The 24788-nt window shown below is 38.6% G+C and overlaps 1 long non-coding RNA gene across 6 annotated transcripts in view; it reads left to right on the forward strand.

Moving 5' to 3' along the window:
• LOC107987108 (uncharacterized) overlaps nucleotides 1-24788 on the forward strand; it is a 675821-nt gene that overhangs the window by 501921 nt on the left and 149112 nt on the right. For 4 of the 6 annotated variants that reach the window (XR_007061714.1, XR_007061711.1, XR_007061715.1 and 1 more), the window contains exon 1: nucleotides 19915-19987. The exons of the other annotated variants lie outside the window; for them this stretch is intronic. This is a non-coding gene — a long non-coding RNA (uncharacterized LOC107987108). Of the gene's footprint in view, nucleotides 1-19914; nucleotides 19988-24788 lie in introns of those variants that run through there. 6 annotated transcript variants of the gene reach the window in all.

A 24788-nucleotide genomic window follows, 5' to 3' on the forward strand; every position in this document is an offset into this window, starting at 1 on the left:
GGAATGGCCTAGAAAGAGACATTGAAGTTCCATATGTGGCATTGGCATAAAACATCTCAGGTTGGGGAAAGGTATAAGCAGAGGCCTGGAGGCTGATACTGAGGAGCCTGCAAGAACAGCAGGAAGGAGTGCAGTGAGGATGAAGCTCATGTGGATGCAGTGAGGAGTGGGTACTGGATGTCTTTGCCCACTCTGACACTGACATTCAAGAGTTTGATTGGATTCCTGGTTATTCTCAGGAGGGGCTGCAGCAATCTTTGAGGCTGGTGCAAGGCTGAGCACTTCTATCTTTGTGCAGTCTTTCTCCTTTTGATCAGTCCCTGGACATATGAAATCCACCTCCTCTCCTCATACTCAAGTATCAAACCTCATACTTGTATTCAAAATGGTGTCAAAAAAAGGAGAAGAAAAGGGCAATTGATTTGAATGTTTCAGTCATTTCCTTGGGAACACACTGAGCTTTTACTCTGGGGTGACTGTGAAAAAGACTCTGCCTGTGATTAGATCTGTCAGGCAGTGGCTGTGTTACACCAGGTACCTGGGGAAATAAAACCACGGGCAATTGCCAATGTCTGCATGCCCAGAGAGCTGTCTGCCGTGCAGTACAATAACGGGCAAGTTTGTGTGCATGCGTATAGGAACCATTTGGCCAGGACTTGGCAGGGGGATTCTAGATTTGAATCAGGGTGGGAAAGATGATCTCTAAGGCTCCAACTCAAATCTCGGATTGCATGACTCTGTATATGCAGCCAGAGGCACACAATGAAAAGATGGCTAAGGGTATGTAGAGTGAACAGGTAGGTCCCCACTTTACTTCCCATCTTATCTGTATCCATTTCAAATACCATGCAGCTACCAGAGTGCCATTTCTACAAAATAAATGCAACCATGTCATCCTCCCTTTCCTGCTTAGAAACCTCAATGTTTCCAATTATCTAGAGGATAAAGTCCAAACCACTCAAGACTTACCATGACCTAGCCTCAGACTAATTTTCCAGCTTCATCTCTCATCAGTCCCCACTTTACCGTTTACACTCCAGCAACAGTGGCTTTGCAGGTCCTGCACTCACTTCCTGCTTATATTGTTTTCCTCTTGCCCCCCACCCCCCCGCCTCTCTCTCACACACACACACACACATCTAAAATGTCTGTCTCAATCTTGCCTCCCAGTTAATATTACCCCATTTTTCTCAAGACTCAGTTCTTACCTCTTTTAGAAACCTTCCCTGATCATACTAGTCTCAGAGTGGTGCACACATTTCTATCATATCCTTAAAATATTGAATTATAAATAGCTATCTACTTATATGATTGGGTATTTGACTTCATGGATCTTTGAGTCTCTTGTGCCTAGCACACACAGTGTCTGGTTCAGTGATGAATAGTGACTGTTAATTGCATAAATATTGAATGGAAAGGATGGATGGATAGTAGATGGAAAAGTATCTAAAAAGTAGATAAATTCCCAGATTCTATTGCTAATCTCAGCGAGGTGTTATTTTCTTTAGTTTTAGTGAAGGAGCTACTGTGGCACAGAAAGGCAAATGTCACACAGCTAACACTAACCTTTAAAATCACAAAACAAGCTCCTTGTTCCTGACATAGTTCTCATTGCTCACTCCTCTGTCCTCTGGCACTCCTCAGTGGCTAAGTACCTATTGCATCTTGAATCCTGAATGACCTAGACCTAGAATTCTACAGCTCAAAAGAACCTAAAAGAAGATCCATCCTAGTATGCCCCCCACTTTCTCTTTTAGTAGATAATTGATAGCTATAAGGGTCAATACTTCATTCATCCTTCAAAATCCTGCTCAGTTATAACCACTATTGCCATCATGAGTAAATGTAGAATTATGACTGTGATAGATGCTACAGGGAAGTAGGTGGCACAAGAGCCTATGATATAATAACACTAACCAAGTCAGCAGTCTGATGAGTAGCTAATTAATCATTAAGTAAATATTCATTGACTGAATACTCTGTGCCGGAGACTCTCCTAAGTGCTGAGTATGAAACAGTGAGTAAACAGTCAACATCCCTGCTGTGTGGGGCTTACATTTTAGTGGGAGGGAAGAGACAATAAAGAAAGAAATAGATGCTATCTTGGAGAGTGATATGATAGACATTCACTAGCAAACAGTAAGTAGTAGTTCAAGAAGTAGAAAGAACATGGATAAGGTGCCAAAGGAGTGTGAGGTGATAGCAAACATTTTTGAGGAACCGAAAGAAAAATTCCTTGGTTAAGATATGGAGACAAGAGTGTCACAGAAAGAGACCAGATAGTCATGTCTCAAATTATGGTGGGTCTTGAAAGCCAAGTTAAATTTGCATTAGCTCTTCAGTGCAAGAAAAATTGTTTGTGGGTTTTAAACAAAGAGTGGCATGATTAAATTGTGTGTTTGTGTACGTGTGTGTGTGTTTGTTTTAAATATCTAGTCATTGTGTAGAAAATGACTGGGAAGGGAACAGTAGTAACCCTGGAGAGATAGGTCTGAAAGATATCCCAGTAATTTAGGTGAGAGATAATGGTGGCTTGGACTAGGATGTAGAGGAGATATCAGGGGTGACACCTAGGGTTCTGTCCTGAGCAACAGGGTAGATAATGATGCCATTTAATTAGAGGGATGACACTGAAAGAGGAAAATATTTGGGAAAGAAAAAGTCATACTTCAAGAATTAAGTTTGGGCCATGTCATGGCTGAGATGCTCATGGGGCATCACATTTAGGGTATTTGTTAATAATTCGATTATCTGACTCTGTAGTTCACAAGAGACGGGCTGAAAATTTAATTCTGAATAACTTGAAATATAGAAAGACTATACAAAGTCATGAGAGTGGATGAACTCACCTAGGGAAATGTAGGATAAGATAAGAAGAAATTAGAAGAACCCCAATGTGAAGAGGAGTCAGCAAAGGAAATGAGAAGCAGAAGCAAAGGAGAAAAAAGGAGATTGTGATGTGACAGAGGCTAAGGTACGAGAAAATCTCAAGAAGAAAGAAGTATTGGATGCTGGTGGGATTTTGAGTAAGGTACTGGCTGAGGACTGTTCACTGGCTTTGTGACAGATGGTTATTGGTCAGCATCATGTCCAGATACCATGTTTAACAATTTTTTTGATGAGTTGGCTGTGAAAGAAAGTAATTGCTATCAAAAATATGAATAAGTATGACCTTTATTTTTGTTTTTAATATCTATCCACTTTTCTGGGCTGTAAATTTTTTAAGATCAGGGAACAAATTTCCTTTATTTCTGTACACTCAAGACCTTACACTTGAGTATACCCTGTATCCTCAACACATTTATCAGTTCATAGTAAAGCTTAGTAATATTTGTTAAGCAAATGAATAAATGAGGATTTAGAGAATATTTTGGACAACTATTTTCTGGAAAATTATAAAGTTACATTTCAAAAATATTCATGGCATTGGAAGTTAATTTTTTGGGAGCAATTATGCTGTCACACTGTCACTGTCAGGAAGATACTTTGGGTTGAAAAAATATAGTCTCCAAGTCTTTGCTATTGTGAATAGTGCTGCAGTAAACATACGTGTGCATGTGTCTTTATAGCAGCATGATTTATAATCCTTTGGGTATATACCCAGAGGGGTGGGGGGAGGGGGAAGGGATAATATTAGGAGATATACCTAATGTAAATGACCAGTTAATGGGTGCAGCACACCAACATGGCACATGGCACATGTATACATATGTAACCTGCACGTTCTGCACATGTACCCTAGAACCTAAAGTATAATTTATATATATATATATATAGTCTCTGCTCTGCTATTTTTTTGGGAAAAACATTCCATTGTGACTGTTGTCTCCTTAAATTTTGCCCCTTCTCTTTTTTTCCAGTGCTGTTGCCTCAAATCTGACCCTTATTATTTCTCATCTGTTCTCATGCAATTTTCTCCCTTAACCCATAGCTGAATTAAGGCCCTTAAGTGCTCTGGGCACTGCAATAGCCTTGCTGCTACATATAAATTAAAATCAAAATAATGCCAACCTGTAAATCCCAAAGCTTATACATGTGCTCATATTAAGAGAACTTCCTTCTGTATTTCACTGCCTGGAAAAGTTTGGGTAAATCATGCAGCTGATGCAGCTCATTGGCCCCTGCATTATTGACACCCTAAGCATGAACTTACTACTGAGGAATCCATTATCCTCTAGGCTTGCCTCTCTTCAGTCACCCTCTTTCAGAATGATCATAAATCACAGATTGAAGGTTTCACCTGAAATCCCTTATGGGCTCCCCATGACTGATAGAACAGAGTTCTTTCTCCTAGCTTGGCTTACAAGGTTTTCAATTTTATGGTCCCTCAAGATGCCTTGTTCTCATCTGATGAAATAATCCACATGTGCTCCCTCCATTCTGGATTGTTTGTCGTTCTCTGAACACCCCTTGGGCTCCCTTGGATCCATACATTTGCATGGCCTGATCTTTCTGCCCAAAGTATACCTCTCTAGCTTCTTCACCCATCTAATTCCCCCATCTCTCCAGACCCAGCTAAAAGTCACCTGCTCTTCCAGGTCTTCACTGGGTGTTAGATATGTGCCCCCACCTTTGCCATCACAGCACATTCATTTTTTTTGTCTACTCATTGTATTGCAACTGACCTTCCATCTTTCTCACATCACTCCTCCTAGCAATGATAGCCAACATTTATTGATCCTTTAATAAACTCTCCAGGGGTTGTGTCATTTAACTCAATACCACTGTGTGAAGTAGGTATAATTATTATCTGTATTTCACGTATAATAAAATTCAGAACTACTGACTGGTCCAAAGTTACACAGATATCAAGTTCTAGTCCAGGAATTCACAACAAACTGTCTGACACTGGATACCTACTCTTAACCACTACACTAGACCATGAGCTTCTTGAGTGCAAGAAATAAACCATTTTTATCTTTCCAGATCTTTGAAGGAGGCTGGGAACAATGAAAACAGTAGATAAATGTTTACTGTATGAATAGAATGAATGAATACATTTATCTTACAATTTATTTCTGTTATCTTCTAGTGTTGCTAAAATATTTGATTATGTGAATTTTTATTTTATTTTTATTTCTATCATATTTGAATTAGAATTCAAAATAGAAAGGAGTCTAGCATTAACCAGAGAGTGGAAGCATTGGAAGGGCTTCCGCATGGATGAAGAATAAGATTTGTTTGGTAAGAGCTTGAATTAGGACAAAGGGAAGGAAGCAACAGGGAAACAGTGCTTACTACTGGGAATAAACACACTCTAATTTCTAGAGCTGTATAAAGATGGAATGGGTTGCTCAGTTAGGGGATAAGATCCTCCTTCCTGGAAGTATGCAGACAAAGGTTGAGGCTACTTGGTGAGATGTTGTAGAAGAATTTCAGTGATCTAATGATACATTTTATTGGATGGCCTTGAAGCTGTTTTCCATCCAGAAATTTTATGAGTCCATGAAATAGAGAGGGGAAAGGGGAAGAAAAGAACAAAAATCTAAATAGATGAGATGATATATTTTAATTTTACTGTTAGTATAACTGAAAGTCTATATTTATACAAAAGCAACATTTGTTGGGATGTATCTGTTAAAGCAAAAGGAACAGAGATGGGAAGAAGCTAATTGAAATAACATACCATGGAGATTTCTTTCCAGGATGTCAGTCCCACCATGCTCTTCCTCTACTCTTAAGCCTCCTCATTTCTACCACCTAGCTTGGAGGTCACTCTCCTGTGAGTGATGGGCTTTCCTGATACACAACCACAGAGAGCTAGAAATGGATCCTTTCCCTCAAATGGGCCTAGGAAAACTGCTCCAGTAGAGGAGAGATGGAAAAAATAAAGGGGCTCTCACACTGGTTGGGGAAGAATTTTGTGACTAAATGCTTCACTTTTGTGGGGAGGGATCAGAGTTAGAAATGATGTTTCCAATCCTAGCAGTAGGAGTGAGTAGCTCCATGTATTTCTAGGCTTCATGTTTTCCTGGACTTGTGGGAGAAAAAGAGATGAACAAAGAGAGACTTAAGAGTAGAGGAATGGCAGCTAGTGAGGCCACTACAGTCTTGGCTTGTTGGAGAGGCTAAGCCTAGAAGTGGGGATCAAGGCTGTGCCTGCGGGAAGAGAGGGTTCCAGCAGCAGTACCAGGGCCTTGGCAGCAGGAAGGGTGAGTCTGGCGTGAATGGGGTCATCAGGGGTGTTTGGGGAGGCCCTCTAATACCAAAGAGCTGTGGAGCTGGGGGATGGAAGCTGACATCCTAGTGACTTGACTGGTATGGCTGGCCTAAGAATGGCTCTTTGTTACCATCTCCTTGGAACTGTGAGATATGAATACTCTCTTTAGGTTTTACTTAAGCTCCTTGAAGGAGAAAAATCCTACCTTGTTCATATTTGTTTCCCCTGATTATAGCATAGTGCCTGGGACACCACATGCTAAATAGATGTTTCTTGAATGAACTGAACAAATAAATAAATGAATCAAGAGTAAGCACTAATTTTTATATGAGGGACTATATTAGACACCTGATAGGAGACGAAATCTACAAATGAGGAAGACAGCACCCAGGTTCCTAAAGAGGCTTATGTCAAGTGGGGAAGCTGAAGTTACATATGATTAATACAGTGGAATAAAGAAAGTGCTGAGTTTAGACTGAGTTTAGAAGTTACTTGCCTCAAATTCCACATGAGCACATTGGTATTTTGATATCAAAGGCTTTCCTCCTTCTCCTTCTCCTTCCCCCTCTCCCCTCCCCCTCCCCCCTTCTTCTTCTTTCTTTCTTTTCTTTTTTTAACATCTGATTGTTGATGTAATATGTTGAATTTTGAATCCCATCTATTTTGAATAATTCCGAAAATGTTAAAAGGAAGGACATATATAAATTATAAGCTCACCATTCAGCAGTAACCTATTATTACAACTTTGGTGTATTGCTTTCCAGACTTTTTCTTTGAAATTTTTTCTTCACAATTGAGATCACACTGCACCTAGAATGGTATTATTCTTTCCTCTTCTCCCTTTACCATGTCATTAAAATATTCTTCTTAATCATGATGTGGGGCTTTCTGGTAGCCTATGGCATGTCTGTACAATGACTCATTTAATAATTCTCTTTTTGTTAGACATTTAGGTTCTTCAAATTTTAATATTATAAATAATATTGTACATTTCAGAGTAGTCTAGATTCCTAGAAAAGTAATTCCCAAAAAGCAAAATGCAGAGGTTATTTTTATAATATTTGATATACCTTGACAAATTGCCCTCTGGGATGATTGAACCAATTTCTACTCTTACTGGTTCTGTGTGCAAGTGTCTACCTTACTGCGTGTAGGGGCATTTTAAAATTCTGTCGTGGCACCAAGTTGATGTCAGAGAATTTTTCCCAACACTCTGGAGAGGGGAGAAATCAGATCGAATAGTTATATTTAAATGTATTCTACATCACTTTCTCATATTAAATTAGCAAAACAATATAATATTTACCTGGCACTGGCAAGTCTTGAGATGGTAACTCTCACATTGTTAATGGCAGAATAAAATGATGCAACACTTTCAGAAAGGAATTTTGGGAATACTTTTTAAAAATCATCAGTGGTTATGTAATCTCACATCTGAAAATGTTTCTCAAAAAACCAATCTGAAGGAAAAAAGCTACTTTCCTCAACAGGATAGAATGCAAAAAAAAGTTAAGTTTCCTATAAATGTTCAATATGGAGGGGAATGTCTAAATAAATTATGGAATATCTACTCAATGGACTAGCAGTGTATTTATTTTAAAATGTTATAAAATACTTGTGCAGATATAAGAAAGCAAAAAATTATTAAAACTTAGTTGTAATTATATGAATATGACACCATTATGTGGGCAAGATGGAAAAGGGTCAATAAATAGAAAAGTCGGCTTTGTTGATGAATATGGAAGTAAACATGCACTTATAATGTATTTTTAAAAATTGTTTTGTCTTCATTTTTTTCTCTTTATTTTCAGTTCCATAAGGCGGCTGTCTCCCTTTTCATCCCAAAGTAAAATCATGTATAAATGACTCTCTAAAAGGCATATAGTAAATGTTTTCAGGGTGAGATCAAGGTCACATGTAATATGAGATCCTTACGTATGACCTCAACCTGGGAGAGCCAAGGAAATCATACAGCAGTTTGTTTTCCAAGATTCAAAAAGACTCACCACTCTAGTCAGTTAAAGAAGAATTCCTACAGGCCTGGAGGAACTTCACAAAGATTGGAAAGAATGCATTTGGCAGTGAGTCCCTGGCCTGAGCAGCTGATTTTTAGGGAGAGGGAAGGAAATCCCAGATAAAAGCAGATGTCATCAAGGACAATAGGTCTAAAGCGAAAGACGCAATGTGCTGTGAAGTGTCACAGAAACTCTCAGACAAACACACATTCAGAAACAGGTCTCCTAGCCCACCATGTATACCTGCCAACGTGTGCAAGATAGGGATCAATAAATGGAAGGGAGAAAGCACAATAGTGTCAAATCAAATTTTATAGGAATCAGTACAACTTGACTGGGTGGGGATCAAGGGTGAAAAACGATAATTAAAAGTTAAATATATTTAAAAGAAATCGGCGGGCGCGGTGGCTCACGCCTGTAACCCCAGCACTTTGGGAGGGCGAGGGCAGGCAGATCACGAGGTCAGGAGATCGAGACCATCCTGGCTAACATGGTGAAACCCTGTTTCTACTAAAAATACAAAAAAAAAAAAAAAAATTAGCCGGGTGTGGTGGCAGGTACCTGTGGTCCCAGCTACTCGGGAGGCTGAGGCAGGAGAATGGCGTTGAACCCGGGAGGTGGAGCTTGCAGTGAGTGGAGATGCGCCACTGCACTCCAGCCTGGGCGACAGAGCCAGTGAGACTCTGCCTCAAAAAAAAAGAGAAAAAATAGGAGAGGAAATGAATTGGTGGAGTATGTCTGGACAGTATTGAGTTGTAAGGTAATTTAGAACCTGAAAGAGATAAAATGAAATGGAAGAGAAGTGAGACTTAATGAGATATTGCCATAGAACTATTACTAACCACCTAGTTGAGGGAGGAAGTGATGACGCTCTCCTGCAAGGGGTAAAAAGCTGGCCCAACACTTGGGATTGTAAGAAATGTCAACATTTCTCATGTTTTCTGAGAATCTCCATTTTTTAAAAACAGAGCAGCTGAGGCGGGTGGATCACGAGGTCAGGAGATTGAGACCATCCTGGCTAACATGGTGAAAACCCATCTCTACTAAAAATACAAAAAATGAGCCGGGCGTGGTGGCAGGCGCCTGTAGTCCCAGCTACTTGAGAGGCTGAGGCAGGAGAATCTCTTGAACCCGGGAGGTGGAGCTTGCAGTGAGGCCAGATCATGCCACTGCACTCCAGCCTGGATGACAGAGCAAGACTCTATCTCAAAAACAAAAAAAAAAACAAAAAAAAACCCAGAGCCTTATACTTTGTAATTCTTTTTGACATCATCATCTCCCAAAAGGTAAAGGGAGTTGACAAAGAAAAGAGCAACCTCCGACTTAACTGGGAGCAGAAATGAAAACATTGATGTCAAGGTGGATTTGCTAAAGAATTGGGAAAACTGTGTAGGGACACTGGATTTATTTGTAATGCCTCAGCTTAAAGATGGCTTTTTGAAAAAGTTCAAAAAGCAGAACTTGCTATCTGAGAAATGGGATAATCAAAAAATGGAATTCTGTCTTCCAGATTAAAATGGAAACTGGCTGAGTCTTGACCCAGCCTGTCCCAAATTTTTACTAAAATCCACATGAAGATACAGCAGACGAAAACTCATAACAAACAAAAATAAAATTACAGGAAGTATATTTTTAGAATCTGGTTGAAATTTCACTCATACAGCAACTTTTGGATTTGGATTAGGAGAGGGAATATGATAGACAAGAAGATCATGCAGAAGTGAAAATGTTGTACTGTGGGACAAATAGAACTCCGCATTACCGTCTTATCATTTGGTCAAGTAATTAACTTTACTAAGCCCTGTTGTTGTTGTTGTTGTTGTTGTTGTTGTTGTTGTTGTTTAGACAGAATTTCACTCTTGTTGCCCAGACTGGATTGCAGTGGTGCGATCTCGGCCCACTGCAACCCTCCCCACCTAGGCTCAAGTGATTCTCCTGCCACAGGCTCCTGAGTAGCTGGGATTACACACGCTCACAACCACACCCGGCTAATTTTTGTATTTTTAGTAGAGACGGGGTTTCACCATGTTGGCAAGGCTGGTCTCAAACTCCTGACCTCTGGAGAACCACCCTTCTTGGCCTCCCAAAGTGCTGGGATTACAGGTGTGAGCCACCGCACCCAGGCCTAAGCCTAAGATGTTTTTAATCATCTGCAAAATGGGATTCATATAGTATGTTCCACAGAGTAGCCAGGAAGATTAAATTAGAAGAGCTGATTCATGCACAGCACCAAGCACAGTGCCTGACACATAGTAAACATTAAATAAATATTTATGACTTTTTCTCTATTCTTTTGTAAACATGATCTTCAGAGAACAGGAAGTTTCCCAAGGTGGTGGAGAGGAAGTAGGAGGAGGAAGGGCAGCGGCACATAATATCCTAGGAAACGGTGTCTGTTTCAACATTGTAGATGGGGGAGGAAAAAGGAAAAGCAGGGCATCCGGGGCACTGCAGCATGTGCAGAGAACCAGTGGGCAGAGTAGGAAAAGAGCTCCTCTCCAAAGATTTGTACCAGATAGAAACCTGCTGCACAAAAGGAAAAGGGCTGAGTTTGATGCTTGTCAGCCTGATCAAAGGTTGTCAGATAAAACACAGGCAGCTGAATTAAATCTAAATATTACATTATTATAAAATTATTTTAGCATAAATGCAGCTCATGCAATACCCAGGACATACTGATACTTAAAAATTATTAATTATCTGAAATTCAAATTTAACTGGGCATCCTGTATTTTTATTTGCTAAATCTGGCAACCCTAATTTAACCTCTGGCTGCATTTGTTAGGAGGAAGTTTGACTTGCAAAGAAATGGAGAGTGAATGAAGCTGCAGGAAATGCACACACCCTGACACTTGGTAAACGCGGATTGAGTTTGGATCTTTCCTTCTCTTGAAATAAATAGAAAATACACCACCAACAATAGAGGACCTATCAAAAGTTTAGCAGGAGAAGGGGAAAAAGCAATTCTGAAGATTCATGCAATCGGAATTTGAAAATATTAAGTACATAAAGCAGGAGAAAAATGTAGAAATGTTTTCATATCCCCAAGAAGTCTTGTGATCTGGGAGATAAATAAAAAATTTTAAAGGACAAAATTTACAAATCAAGTTAACAAAGTGAGAAGAAGAGGTAGTCAAGGTGACATTCAACAAAAAGCAAAATGTGAATAGCGAAATTGAAAGAATGTGTTTTGGAGGCGACAAGAGCGGAAATGATACTGCACTAAAGCAAATCCTGAAATGGAGTTGAGAATGGAGAAGTATTTCTATTCTCAGAGGAAAGGGGCAAGGAGGTGAAATTGGGAAGAAAAAAGCAGAGATCTGAACACAAATCTTTGGAGATTTGTGGACTGGAGATCCACAAATCTCGAGTGACATGAAATCAGAACAATTACAGTATAAGCAAAAGCAAATACTCAAAACCAGAAAAGGAAGAGAGAGAGGAGATCAAATCTCGAGTGACATGAAATCAGAACAATTACGGTATAAGCAAAAGCAAATACTCAAAGAAAACCAGAAAGGGAAAAGAAAGAGAGGGAAAAAAAAAAAAGAGAGAAGTCCTAGAAAACACTTGCAGGGCACTCAGACTAGGCAGACACTTAGCCTGTGTTAACTTTTTTAACCTTCACAACTTCCCTATGAGGTAGGTACTATGTCAACCCCATTTTACAAATAAGAAAATTGAAAGGAAGCATGTTTTTAACTTTGGCTTTCCTTTAAAAATTTTGTCCAAGGTCACAGGCCTAGTAAGAACAAAGCTGGGACTGAACCCAGACAGCCTGGCTCTAGAGCAAATGGTCTTAATTCCAAAGCTACTTGATATCTAGTGAAAGCATGCCATTAAAATTTGCATATGCAAATTTTTAGCCTTCTCTTTATTATATCAAGGCAACATCAATAAAAAATGGCCACACCCCCAAACTTTCACGGAAATACTTGGCTAGACAAAAAACAATTTTGCAAGCATCCAGGCTGCAAACAAAACAGAACAAAATAAGTTACTTACAGACGAACAAAAATCAGGTTAACCTGAGATTCCCTGCAATGCTAAATGCTAAAAGACAATGAAAACATCTTTCAGAGTTCCGAGGAATGCTGGTTATGGACCAAATTGTATAACCAACCATGTTGTTGCTCATATGTGAAGTCAACAGCACTAAGACATTCCATAACATGAGCAGGTTCAGAAACTATGCCATCATACACCCTTCTTGAAGGGATTAGTTGAAGACACATAATGTATTCTAGCTGATCAGTAGATTAATCAAAGTTAAAAGCTCAAGCTTGGGGAATCTGTGGAAAAGGGGGCTAATGATGAGGAGGAAGGCGGGTAAATACAGAATCGTGGAGTCTAACTTAAAAGGATTATTGAAAATATTGTTTCAAAACTGAACACAAATGTCAATTAAAATGCTTGACATGGAAGATACATGATAAACAAAAGAATAATAAACACAGTCTATATGTGCCAACTCCAAAATTGTATTTTAAACTGAAAGGTAGAAAGAAAACTGACTTGATTCCTCAACTAAACTGCTCGGTTGCAGAGGAAGTAGAGTATTTAGTGTCATTTCTAACTTTGATATTTAAAGAGATGGGAGTCAATGAATGCTTTCAGCCTCTCTAAACCTTATCTCACACCAAGATCTTGCTAGCTCTCTAGGCTCCAGCTACAGTGTATTTTTTTTTAATCTTGCTGTTGGTTTATGTTTAGAATTCTCAAAGCCTCCCTTCTACTGCAGGTCTTTTTCATCAATTATTCCCTCTGGATAGAATACTTCCACCTTGATCATCACCCTCTAGTTAATGAGCTAACACCTACTTATTCTTCATATATCAGGATATATTTAATTTCTCAGGGAATTTTCCAAGATTTTTCATGACAAAGTCAACTTTCTTTGTCATGTGGTGCCATAAAACACATTTCTTTCTTTTGGAGCATCTATGAATGAATAAAAATGGTTTAATTAATGCAATTATTTGATGAATACCTATGTCCCCACTAATCTACTGTCTCACCACAACAGGAACTGGAGCTGTTTTCTCCTTATTTTTGTGCCAGAAGCCTAGCATAGTACCTGCCACATTGGAGGCAATTAGTGTTTGTCGAGTAAATTATAGAAAATATAAAACAAAACATAATCCAAACTATAGAAGACATAAAATAAATCTCAAAGAAGCATAAAAAAACAGAAAGCACAAATGCAGATGATTAAAGAAAGAGTAAATATTTCAGTTATGACATAATACATATATAGGCTAAGCTGCCTCATAGTCAAACACTCCCGAGACAGGGCAAAAATGAACCTACAGTACTGAGCAAGATATTGCAGCATTCAAGGGACAACTTAAAAATGTATCAAAATAAGGCCAGGCGTGGTGGCTAATTGCCTGTAATTCCAGCACTTTGGGAGGCCAAGGCGGGTGGATCATTTGAGGTCAGGAGCTGGAGACCAGCCTGGCCAACATGGTGAAACCATGTCTCTACTAAAACACAAAAATTAGCAGGACGTGGTGGTGCATGCCTGTAATCCCAGCTATTTGGGAGGCTGAGGCAGGAGAATCAGTTGAACCGGAAGGCGGAGGTTGCAGTGAGCCGAGATCACGCCACTGCACTCCAGCCTGGGTGACAGAGCGAGACTCTGTCTAAAAAATATATAAATAAATAAATAAAATGTATCAAAATAAGATTAACATAATTGAGAGTTGAAGATATAGCAGGAAAATGTAAAAAAGGGAAAAGTAGAGCTAGCAGTAATAATTTCAGACAATATAGAAATCAAGTTTTTATAAAAAGATGTATGTAAAAAAGATAAATTGAATGATTTTTTAGAAGACTTTAATTCATATTTCTCAGTCACCAATATGTCACGGAAGAAAAGTGATAGTGATAACTTAAATAATATAAGTATTAAGATGAATTATATACAGTTGACCTTCGAATAACACAGGTTTGAACTTCATGGATCCACTTATACATGAATTTTTTTCAATAAATACATGGAAAAAGTTTTTGGAGATTTGCAACAATTTGAAAAACTCTCAGATGAACCACATAGCTCAGAAATATTTTCAAAATTAAGAAAAAATTAGATATGTCATAATGCATAAAATATACGTAGATACTAGTCTATTTTATCATTTATTAACACAAAGTTTTTACTACTGTAATGATTTCATAGCCACCTCCTGTTGCTATTGCAGTAGTCTCTAGCGTTGCGAGTATCCACTTAAAATACCTTGTAACTGTAATCATCTCCGCATGAACAGTTTGTCTCTCCAGTAAATTGCGTATCACAGTAAAAAGTGATCTCTCTCAGTTTTCATATATTTTTTACTATGTTTAGTGCAATACTGTCAACCATGAATAAAAACATGGGACTCATATGAAGTGCCACCAGTGATGCTGGAAATGCTCCCAAGAAGCAGAGAAAAATCATGACATTACAAGAAAAAGTTGAATTGCTTAATATGTACCATAGATTGAAGTCTGCAGCTATGGTTGCCCACCATTTCAACATAAATAAGGACCACTGTTTAAAAAGAAGGAAAGAAAAGGAAATTCATGAAGCTGTCACTGCAGTCACACCAGAAGGAGTGAAAACCATGCACCTTTTATGAAATATCTTTTTATTTTATATTGAAAATGTGGCTTTTATGTGGGTCCAGAATTTCTATAAGAAGGCATACTATAGACTCTAATACAATTTAAGAAAAGGCGAAGTCATTACATGACAATTTAAATCAAAAGGAATGTGAAAGATCTAAAGCTGGAGAATTTAATGCCTGCAAAGGATGATTTAATCATTTTTGGCTTTTTTTTTTTTTGACAGAGTCTTACTCTGTCACCCAAGCTGGAGTGCAGTGATGCGGTCTGAGCTCACTGCAGCCTCCACCACCCAGGTTCAAGGAATTCTCCTGCCTCAGTCTCTCCTGAGTTGCTGAGATTACAGGCATGTGCCACCACACCCGGCTAATTTATTTATTTATTTATTTTTTTGTTTTTAGTAGAGACAGGGTTTTACCACATTGGCTAGGCTGGTCTTGAACTCCTCACCTTGTGATCCACCCATCTCGGCCTCCCAAAGTGCTGGGATTACAGGCATGAGCCACTGTGTCCAGCAGAGGGTCAGCTTTAAAAATATCAGGATAGGCTGGGCACAGTGGCTCACACCTGTAATCCTAGCACTTTGGGAGGCTGAGGCGTGCGGATCACAAGGTCAAGAGATCGAGATCATCCTGGCCAACGTGGTGAAACCCTGTCTCTGCTAAAAATACAAAAATTAGCTGGGCATGGTGGCACATGCCTGTAGTCCCAGCTACTCGGGAAGCTGAGACAGAAGAATCGCTTGAACCAGGGAGGTGGAGCTTGCAGTGAGCCAAGGTCGTGCCACTGCACTCCAGCCTGGTGACAGAGCGAGACTCCATCTCAGAAAAAAAAAAAATTTTTCAAGATAACAAGTGAAGCAGCTTCTGCCAACCAGAAGGCAGCAGATGAGTACCCAGACTCCACTGAGGAGAAAGGATATCTGCCTGAACAGGTTTGCAATGCAGACGAAAGTGCCCTAATTTGGAGGAAAAAAAGCCACAAAGGACATTTATTAGTAAGGAAGATAGGTAATCACCAGGATTCAAGGTAGGAAGGGATAGGCTAACTGTACTGTTCTGTGCAAAAGCAGTTGGGCATCTGATCAGGACTATCCTTATCTATAAAGCTGCTAACCCTCAACCTTGAAAGGAAAAGATAAACTCCAGCTGCCAGGCATTTGGCTATACAATAAGAAGGCCTGGACAACGAGAACCCATTTTCTGCACTAGTTCCATTAACGCTTGGTCCCTGAAGTCACGAAGTCTACACTAGTAAGGGACTGAATTTTAAAGTTCTTTTGATATTGGACTGTTCCCCTGGCCACCCAGCATCCCAGGAGTTCAACGCTGAAGATGTCCAAGTGGTCTACTTGCCTCCTAACACAGCATCTCTAATTCAGCCTCTAGATCAGGGGGTCATAAGAACTTTTAAGGCACATATACACAGTATTCTATGGAAAGGATTGTCAGTGCTATAGAAGAGAACCCCAATAGAAATAACATCATGAAAGTCTGGAAGAACTACACCATTGAAGATGCCATTGTTATAGAAAGCCATGATGACTTGATGGAGATAAGCACGTTTGAACCAGTGCCAGATAATGAGGAAGAAACGTAGAAGAAGCCGTGCAAGGAAACAAATTGACATTAGACAATCTGGGAGAAAGGCTTAGATTATTCAAGACTGCTTTTGACTTATTTTATAACATGGACCCTTCTATGATACAGGCACTTAAACTAAAGAAAACAGTGGAAGAAGGACTAGAATCCTTACAGAAACATATTTAGATAAATGAAAAAGCAAAAAAACAAAAAGGAAGAAATTATGATGTATTTCCATAAAGTTACACCAAGTATGCCTACCTCTTCTCCCTCCCCTTCCACCTTCTCCACCTCTTTCACCTCTGCTACCCCCGAGACAGCAATACCAACACCTCCTCTTCCTCCTCCTCCTCAGACTACACAACATGAAGTCAATGAGGATGAAAACCTTTATGATGATCCATTTCCTAATGAATGTTAAATGTATTTTCTCTTTCTTATGATTTTCTTAATAACATTTTCGCTTACTTTATTGTAAGAATACAGTATATAATACATATACAAAATATGTGTTCATAGATGGTTTATGTTATTAGTAAGACTTCCAGTCATCGGTTGGCCATTTATAAAGTTTTTGGGGAGTGCAAAGTTATATGCAGACTTTTGACTATGTGGGGGTTGGTACCCCACCAATCTCATGTTTTTCAAGAGCCACTGTATATGTGCATATATAGTTAGTTATATACTGCATTAAACATGAAGGTTTTGCTTAACAACAGAAAATATAATTGCTTTGAATGTTTAATGAAACAATTTTAAACTATAATTATTAACTAGGTCGCAAACACACATATAAAAATGAATAAATGAATATTCCAATAGCCAGATATTGCAGATACCACATTTTCAGTCTATAACGCCAGATAACTAAAAATGCTTTTTACAAGTATAAGTTTTAAATATTTCTCAAACTGAAATTTTAAATATAATTGCTCCAAATTACTACTGGGATGAAGATAAATTTGACAAACTATAAGTATAAGCTATTTTAAGTATTTAAAATGAGAACACCCAAACAAAAAACTTAGGAAGTACAGCCAATGCTGTTTTCAAAAGGAAATGTTAAGTACTAAATGCTTTTTTTCCTAAATGTGAAAGAATTAAAGCATAAAACTATACTAAGAAGAACTAAAGGATGATAACAATAAAAGCAAAAACCTTTGACTTTGGCAACTATTTAAAAGGATATATAAATCAAAGTCCTATTTTTTGCAGAAACAAACAAATGGAGACATCTTTGAAAAAATCTAACTAGTCAACAGATAAAAACTAAATTAATCTTAGAAATTAGAAAAGTATTATAAAACTCACTGTGGTATAGATTTTGGTTTAAAAAAGAGAATGCTGTGAATATATTATACTTTAATAAAATTTGAGCATATCAGTGAAATTGAAAAATTTGGGGGAAATTCCCAAACTGGTTAAAGAAGAAAAAGGGTGAATTAAGCAATAACTACAGTAAAGACTAAAAATCTTACTAAAGATTAAAATTGTCTCCACAACTAAGTTTATATAATTCATTCTCTGAATCTTTCAAAGAATAATTCTCATTTGATCTAAATTATCCCCCAAAAAATAATAGCCTGGGCAACACGGTGAAACCCCATCTCTACTAAAATACAAAAAATTAGCTGGGCGTGGCAGCGTGTGCCTGCAGTCCCAGCTACTCGGGAGGCTGAGGTAGGAGAATTGCTTGAACCCGGGAGGTGGAGGTTGCAGTGAGCTGAGATCACACCACTGCACTCCAGCCTGGGTGACACAGCAAGGCTCCGTCTCCAAAAAAAAAAAAAAATAATAATAATAATAATAAATATAAGAATATAAGAATAAAAAAGAATAATTTGCCTCTCAAGGAGAGCTGGTTTAAAATTTGGAATAATTATTATTACAATAGCTACTTTGAGAGTTGACTTTTTTATACCAAAAAGTGAGAACAAAACCTGAGGAGTCACAAACAGAAACTGAGTGGACATTAGCAGTGAATGTAATGAGAAAAAAGAGAGCCGAGAAGAGCAAAAAGTGGAGGGGGTGTCATTAAATTCTCCTTGGGGAATCTGAGAACTTGGACACAGAAAGGAGGAGGTAACATTTCAGTGTCTACTCTGTAACACAATTCAAGCTACAAGATTTATATGAGTTGTCTGTAAATTCTGGTAGATGCTTTCATCTCTATCTGCAGAGGAGACTCAGAGACTTTAGGTGATTTGCTCGAGGATCACAAAGGTAGTAAATAGTGAAGCTGAGATTTGAAAACTAGCTTGCCTACTCCAAAGCTTTTCGGGAGGTCAACGCAACATCAAAGTTGGGCAAAGGACAGATTGAGAAGAGAGGTCATTAGTGCAGAAACACTATTTTGTGAGGGGAAAGACAAAATGACATTTCTGGAGAGGCATATTCATGGGCACATCATTCTTTGCATGTGGGGATTTTTGAAGTTTCATGCTCTCTCTTCCAAGGCTAAGTCTGCTTCCTGTTACGGCTGTCAAGTTGTTTTGTTTAGATAGCTAATGCCTGGAACCCAACTGTCTTCCTGTGAGAGGACTACATTATTAACAGTAATGGAAGAAAAAAGGTTTGAATTCTGGGTCCTTATAAAGGCTGTGCAAGTCCTATTTTCTCCAGATCCCCATACCAAGAATCATTCTCCACACTGCAGTCATTTTCTGAGTCTCAGTGTTGGATAGTATGGCTAGAAAAATGCCAGGCCATTTTATAAACAACGTAGTTGTAAGTATAATAGCTGAGATTTAGAGAACATGTTCAGTCATTTAGGATTGTCCTATACTATACTCCTCATGTTCTTTATCCCACTGAATCCTCCCAACAGCCCTAGGTGGTGTGTATGCTAGTCATTAGGGCTGTTCATAAATAATCCGGTTCTTTCCTTCCAGCCATATGCCCTTCTTTACCCTCTTTGAAGTTTAGCATTAGCCTTGTGAAATGTTTTCCAATGTAATGTAAGACGAAGTGACAAATATCACTCTTGGGTAGAAGCTTTATGAGGTATGCTACATTCATTTTTCTTGCCTCACCAATTATGGGACTATATGTCAAGATGAAACTTCCATCAGCCTGGATCCCCATGTGATTATGATGATTAGGGCTCCTCATGTGACTTCCAGTGGCTATAAAGTATGGGCAAAAATTAAAGTTTTTTTCTTTCAAACCTATGTCACATTGTTCTAAAGAGGCCAATATCAATATTTCCCATCTTCATGTTCTTCTTACATGATGACATTGGCACTCTCCCATTGAAAGGTAGGGTCTATGTTCCCTCTCCTTGAATCTGGGACAGTCTGTGACCATGGCAGAATTAGCACTATATAACTTCTGTGTCTGAGTCATTAAATACAGTACAGCTTTCATCTGTTCCTCTTGAGATACTAGCCTGGGAAATCTAGGCTCCATGCTTGTGACAAAGCCAATGGAAAGGTCATGTGTAACTATTCCAGGCACATTCCTAGCTGAGGTCCCAACCAAGAGCCAGCATGAACCACTAGACACTTGCACATGTGAGCCTTCATATGATGCAGTCCTCAGGCTTGGAGCCAGTCCAGGTAATGGAGCAGAGACTGGAGCAGAGACAAGTTGTTCCCACTGAGCTCTCCTCAGATTACAGATTGGTGAGTGAAATAAACATAGTTGTTTTAAGTCATTAATTTTTGGGAATGATTCTTTACAAAGCCATAGATAACTAGAATAAATTTACTAAAACTTTGGAGTTGTTTGTTATTGCAGGAGGGGTGTAGTAAAAATCTGTTCTCCCCATTTTGCAACTGGGGTAACAGAAGTGCAGTGAGGTAAAATAACTGGCCGAAATCACAAGCTTAGGAAAGATTGGCAATACAGAAAAGACAAAATGGAACTAACACTGAACACCTACCCTATGGACAAATTGTACTCTACTCTTTTAAATAGTACTGCATTAGTTCTCAAAACAAAACTGTGAGGAGGATGTGGCATTTCTCCCTGTTTTTCAGACTATTAGCTCCTTGAAGATAGAGACTATAAATTTGCACACTTCCCTTTGTAGTTCCAGTATTGAGCACAATTTCTAATATACTCAAGATCTTCAATTAATGTTTGACAGATTAAATTTAGTTGAACTGAATGGGCTAAACATAAAGAAGGTTTTGGAGGGAGCCCAGTGTTGTACAGTGCTGAATGGTTGACCTCATAGTTAAACTCAGATCTGATTCACTGCAAAGCTTGTGCTTTTTCTTTGTTCTTCTCTTTTCTTTTTCTTTTTTTTCTTTTTTTTTTTTTGAGATGGAGTCTCACATTGTCACTGGGGCTGGAGTGCAATGGCCCGATCTTGGCTTACTGCAACCTCTGCCTCCCAGGTTCAAGTGATTCTCCTGCCTCAGCCTCCCGAATAGCTGGGATTACAGGTGCCTGCCACCAAGCCTACCTAATTTTTTGTATTTTTAGTAGAGGCGGCGTTTCACTATGTTGGCCAGGCTGTTCTCAAACTCCTGATCTCATGATCCGCCCGCCTCGGCCTCCCAAGGTGCTGGGATTACAGGTGTGAGCCACCACGCCCGGCCGTGCTTTTTCTTTATATCACTTCAGGATAGTGAGATGACAGACATCTTCTCCCATGGGTATTGATAAAGTCCTAGAAGTATGCTGTGTGGGTCAGACAGACCACTTTAAAAGTCAGGACAGAATGGACAATTACCCTTAGGCAGAAGAAACAGAGATTTGGATACTTCTGTGTGGCTATAGGTTCTGTACAGAGCATTTGTTCAACATTCAGCCCATCTCAACAGAGTAGACTTTGAGGAATAAAAGTTGCACTTCACTAAGCATTTGTGAGGCCATTGGCAATATAGGAAGCTAACAAAATGTTAATAATAATGTCTGATCTCCAGTGTAGTTAGGAAAATGGACTTTGATTTTTGAATGAATGGCCTCCTTTTTCTGATTTGTCCTCATATACGAAGACAGTGGAACTAGAGCACTCATTGGACTGTGTCTGTATTTTGTTGTACTTCCATTCAACAATATAATTCTTATTCATATGATTTGATAACACATTTGAACACAACCTTTTGAGATGAAAACCTAAGAGCTGACACAAATATGGTGAGGAATGAAATATATTCACCAACTATATAAACATATCTACCCATTGCCCTTCTACCAGGTTGATAGTATGATCAAACGGATGACCATATGATCCCAAAATAAAACAACTATAGGGTATTTTTTCTTCATCTAGAACTAAATCATTGCAAAACACTTGAAAAATTAACAATAATCTGAGCAAGAAAATAAAAGTCACATGTAATCTCACCATCCAGATGTGGTCACTCTGAAGCCTTTTTGCTAGGTGTATTTCTTGCTTATGGTAGTATACGTATACAAGTATACTTGTATTTGTGCAGGCAATTTTTAAAAGGTTTTCTGATGAAGGTATATAGAAGTGTACACACACACACACACAAGAATACAAGTCTTATGTGTACAGTTCTAGGTATTTTTTCAAAGTCAACGTCCCCATGTAACCACTTTCCAGATAAAGATATAAAATATTACCAGCGCCTTAGAAACTTTGCTCCTACTCCCTTCTGAGTTCACCACCTCCTCCCACAAAGCAACCAGTATTCTGACTTCTATCATTAGAGTTTCCTGCTTTGAAATTTATGTAGATGGAATCAAATAAGTTTTAGTCTTTGGGATCTAACCTCTTTCTCTAGCATAATGTTTGTGATATTCTTCCATACTACTAGAAGTACTTGTAGATTATCCATTCTCATTGTTGTATACTTATCCATTGTATGAATATGCCAAAAATTAATTATCCATTTAACTGTTGATGAACATTTGCCTACTTTCCATTTGAGGGCCATTAAAAATAATTTTTGGTTACATGTCTTTTGATGAATATGTACGCACACATCTGTGGGTGTATACCTGAGAGTAGAATTGTGGGTTTTTGTTGTTGTTGTTGTTTGAGACGGAGTCTCTCTCTGCTGCCAGGCTGGAGTGCAGTGGCGCAATCTCGGCTCACTGCAACCTCCGCCTTCAGGGTTCAAGTGATTCTCCTGCCTCAGCCTCCTGAGTAGCTAGGACTATAGGTGTGCGCCACCATGCCTAGCTAATTTTTTGTATTTTTTTTTTTTATAGAGACGGGGTTTCACCATGTTGGCCAGGGTGGGCTTGATTTCTTGACCTCATGATCCACCCGCCTCGGACTCCAAAAGTGGTGGGATTACAGGCATGAGCCACAGCGCCCAGCCAAGAATTTTTAACTCATAGGGCAAAATATGTTCAGTTTTTGCAGATACTGTCAAACATTTTTACAAATAATCACATTGATTTACACTCTACCCCACAGCTTCATTCCCTGGCAGCATATGTGAGTTCTTATCACTCTACCCCCTTGCCCAAACCAAGTGTTTTAGTCTTTTTCATTTTAGCTGTTATGACAAGTATGTAGTGGTTTTCAATGAAGAGTTTTAATCTTTCACTTATAGCTAATTGTATTAGCTTCCTAGGGATGCTATGACAAATTACCACAAACTGGGTATCTTGTAACAACAGCAATCTATTGTCTCACAGCTCTGGAGGCTAGAGGTCTGAAATCAAGGAACATGGTAGAGTCATGCTCTCTCTGAGGATTCTAGGGAAGGATCCTTTCTTAGCTCTTCCTAGCTTCTGGTGGTTGCCAGCTATCCTTGAGAATCCTTAGCTTGTAATCACTCCAATCTTAGCCTCCCTTGTCATATTGGCATTCTCCCTGTGTGTTCTGTGTGTCCAATTTTCCCTTTTCTCATAAGGATACAAATCACTGGTTTAGGGCCCACCTTAATCCTGTATTACCTCATTTTAACTGATAACATCTGCAAAGACTCTGTTTCCAAATACTATCCTATTCATGGGTTTAGGACTTCCACATATCTTTTTGAGGGACAAAATTCAATCCATCACATTAATTTATGGGGTAATTTTTCTATGATTTTGGGCCATTTGCAGATCTCCTTTTCTGGAATATTCATTCTAAACACTGGGTCATTTTAAAAATTGGATTGTCTCATTTGCTTATTGATTCATGTGATTTATTTATATTTTCTGTATACAATGTATTGCTTATGAAATTGTATTGACTTTTATCAAATGGTTTTTTGAATTATTTTCCTACTTATGCAACTAATGTAGTAAATTAGTCTGATATTTGAATGCTAAACCAATCTTAAATTTCTGAAACAAACCCAGTTGGGTTGTAATGCATTACCATTTTTATATATAACTGGGTTTATCTTCAAATATTTTGGTTAAGATTTGGTTAGTATTTTTGCAGCCAGGCGTGGTGGCTCTCACCTGTAACCCCAGCACTTTGGGAGGCCAAGGCAGGTGGATCACCTGAGGTCGGGAGTTCAAGACAAGCCTGGCCAACCTCATCTCTATTAAAAATACAAAAAATTAGCCGGGTGTGGTGGCAGGCACCTGTAATCCCAGCTACTTGGGAGGCTGAGGCAGGAGAATCTCTTGAACCTGGGAGGTGGAGGTTGCAGTGAGCCAAAATTGTACCACTGTACTCCAGCCTGGGTGACAGAGTGAGACTCTGCCTTAAAAAAAAAAAAAAAATGCAATTATGCTCATGAGACAAATTTGCCTATAATTTTATTTTATTGTAATGTTCTTGCCAGGTTTTCATATCAAGAATATACTGACTTTCTATTCTCTGGAATAAAGAATACATTGACTATTCTCTGGAAGATTTTTAAATTTGTATTATTTTTCCTCCTTAATTGATTTTAGGAATTCATGTGTAAAGTCATTTTCATTGAGTTGTTTTTTTTTTCCTTCTCCATTTTTTTGGTCTATTTTCTTTTCCTTTTCCTTTTTTTTTTTTTTTTTTTTTTTTTTTTGGAGACAGAGTTTCGCTCTTATTGCCCAGGCTGCAGTGCAATGGCATGATCTCGGCTCACTGCAAACTCGGCCTCCCAGGTTCAAGCAATTCTCCTGCCTCAGCCTCCCGAGTAACTGGGATTACAGGCACGCACCACCATGCTAGGATAATTTTGTATCTTTTGTAGAGACAGGGTTTCTCCATGTTGGTCAGGCTCGTCTTGAACTCCCAACCTCAGGTGATCTACCCATCTCAGCCTCCTAAAGTGCTGGGATTACAGGCGTGAACCACTGTGCCCAGTCTTTTCTGTCTATTTTCTATCAGTTACTAAGATATATGTGTTAAAAACTACATAATTGGGAATTTTTGTTTATTTTACTTATGTTAGTTATTACTTTGTATCTTTTGATCTTATGTTATTAGATGCGTATAAATTTAGAACTATTACATCTTCCTTTTAAATCAATCTTCTTTAGTGAAATATTACACTTTATCTCTACTAATACTTCTTGCTTTCAAAATGACTTTATTTGATTTTACATAGGTGTATCAGCCTTCTGTGTCTT

The sequence above is a fragment of the Homo sapiens genome, chromosome 9 (genome assembly GCF_000001405.40).
Source record: "Homo sapiens chromosome 9, GRCh38.p14 Primary Assembly".
Classification (NCBI taxonomy): Eukaryota; Metazoa; Chordata; class Mammalia; order Primates; family Hominidae; genus Homo; species Homo sapiens.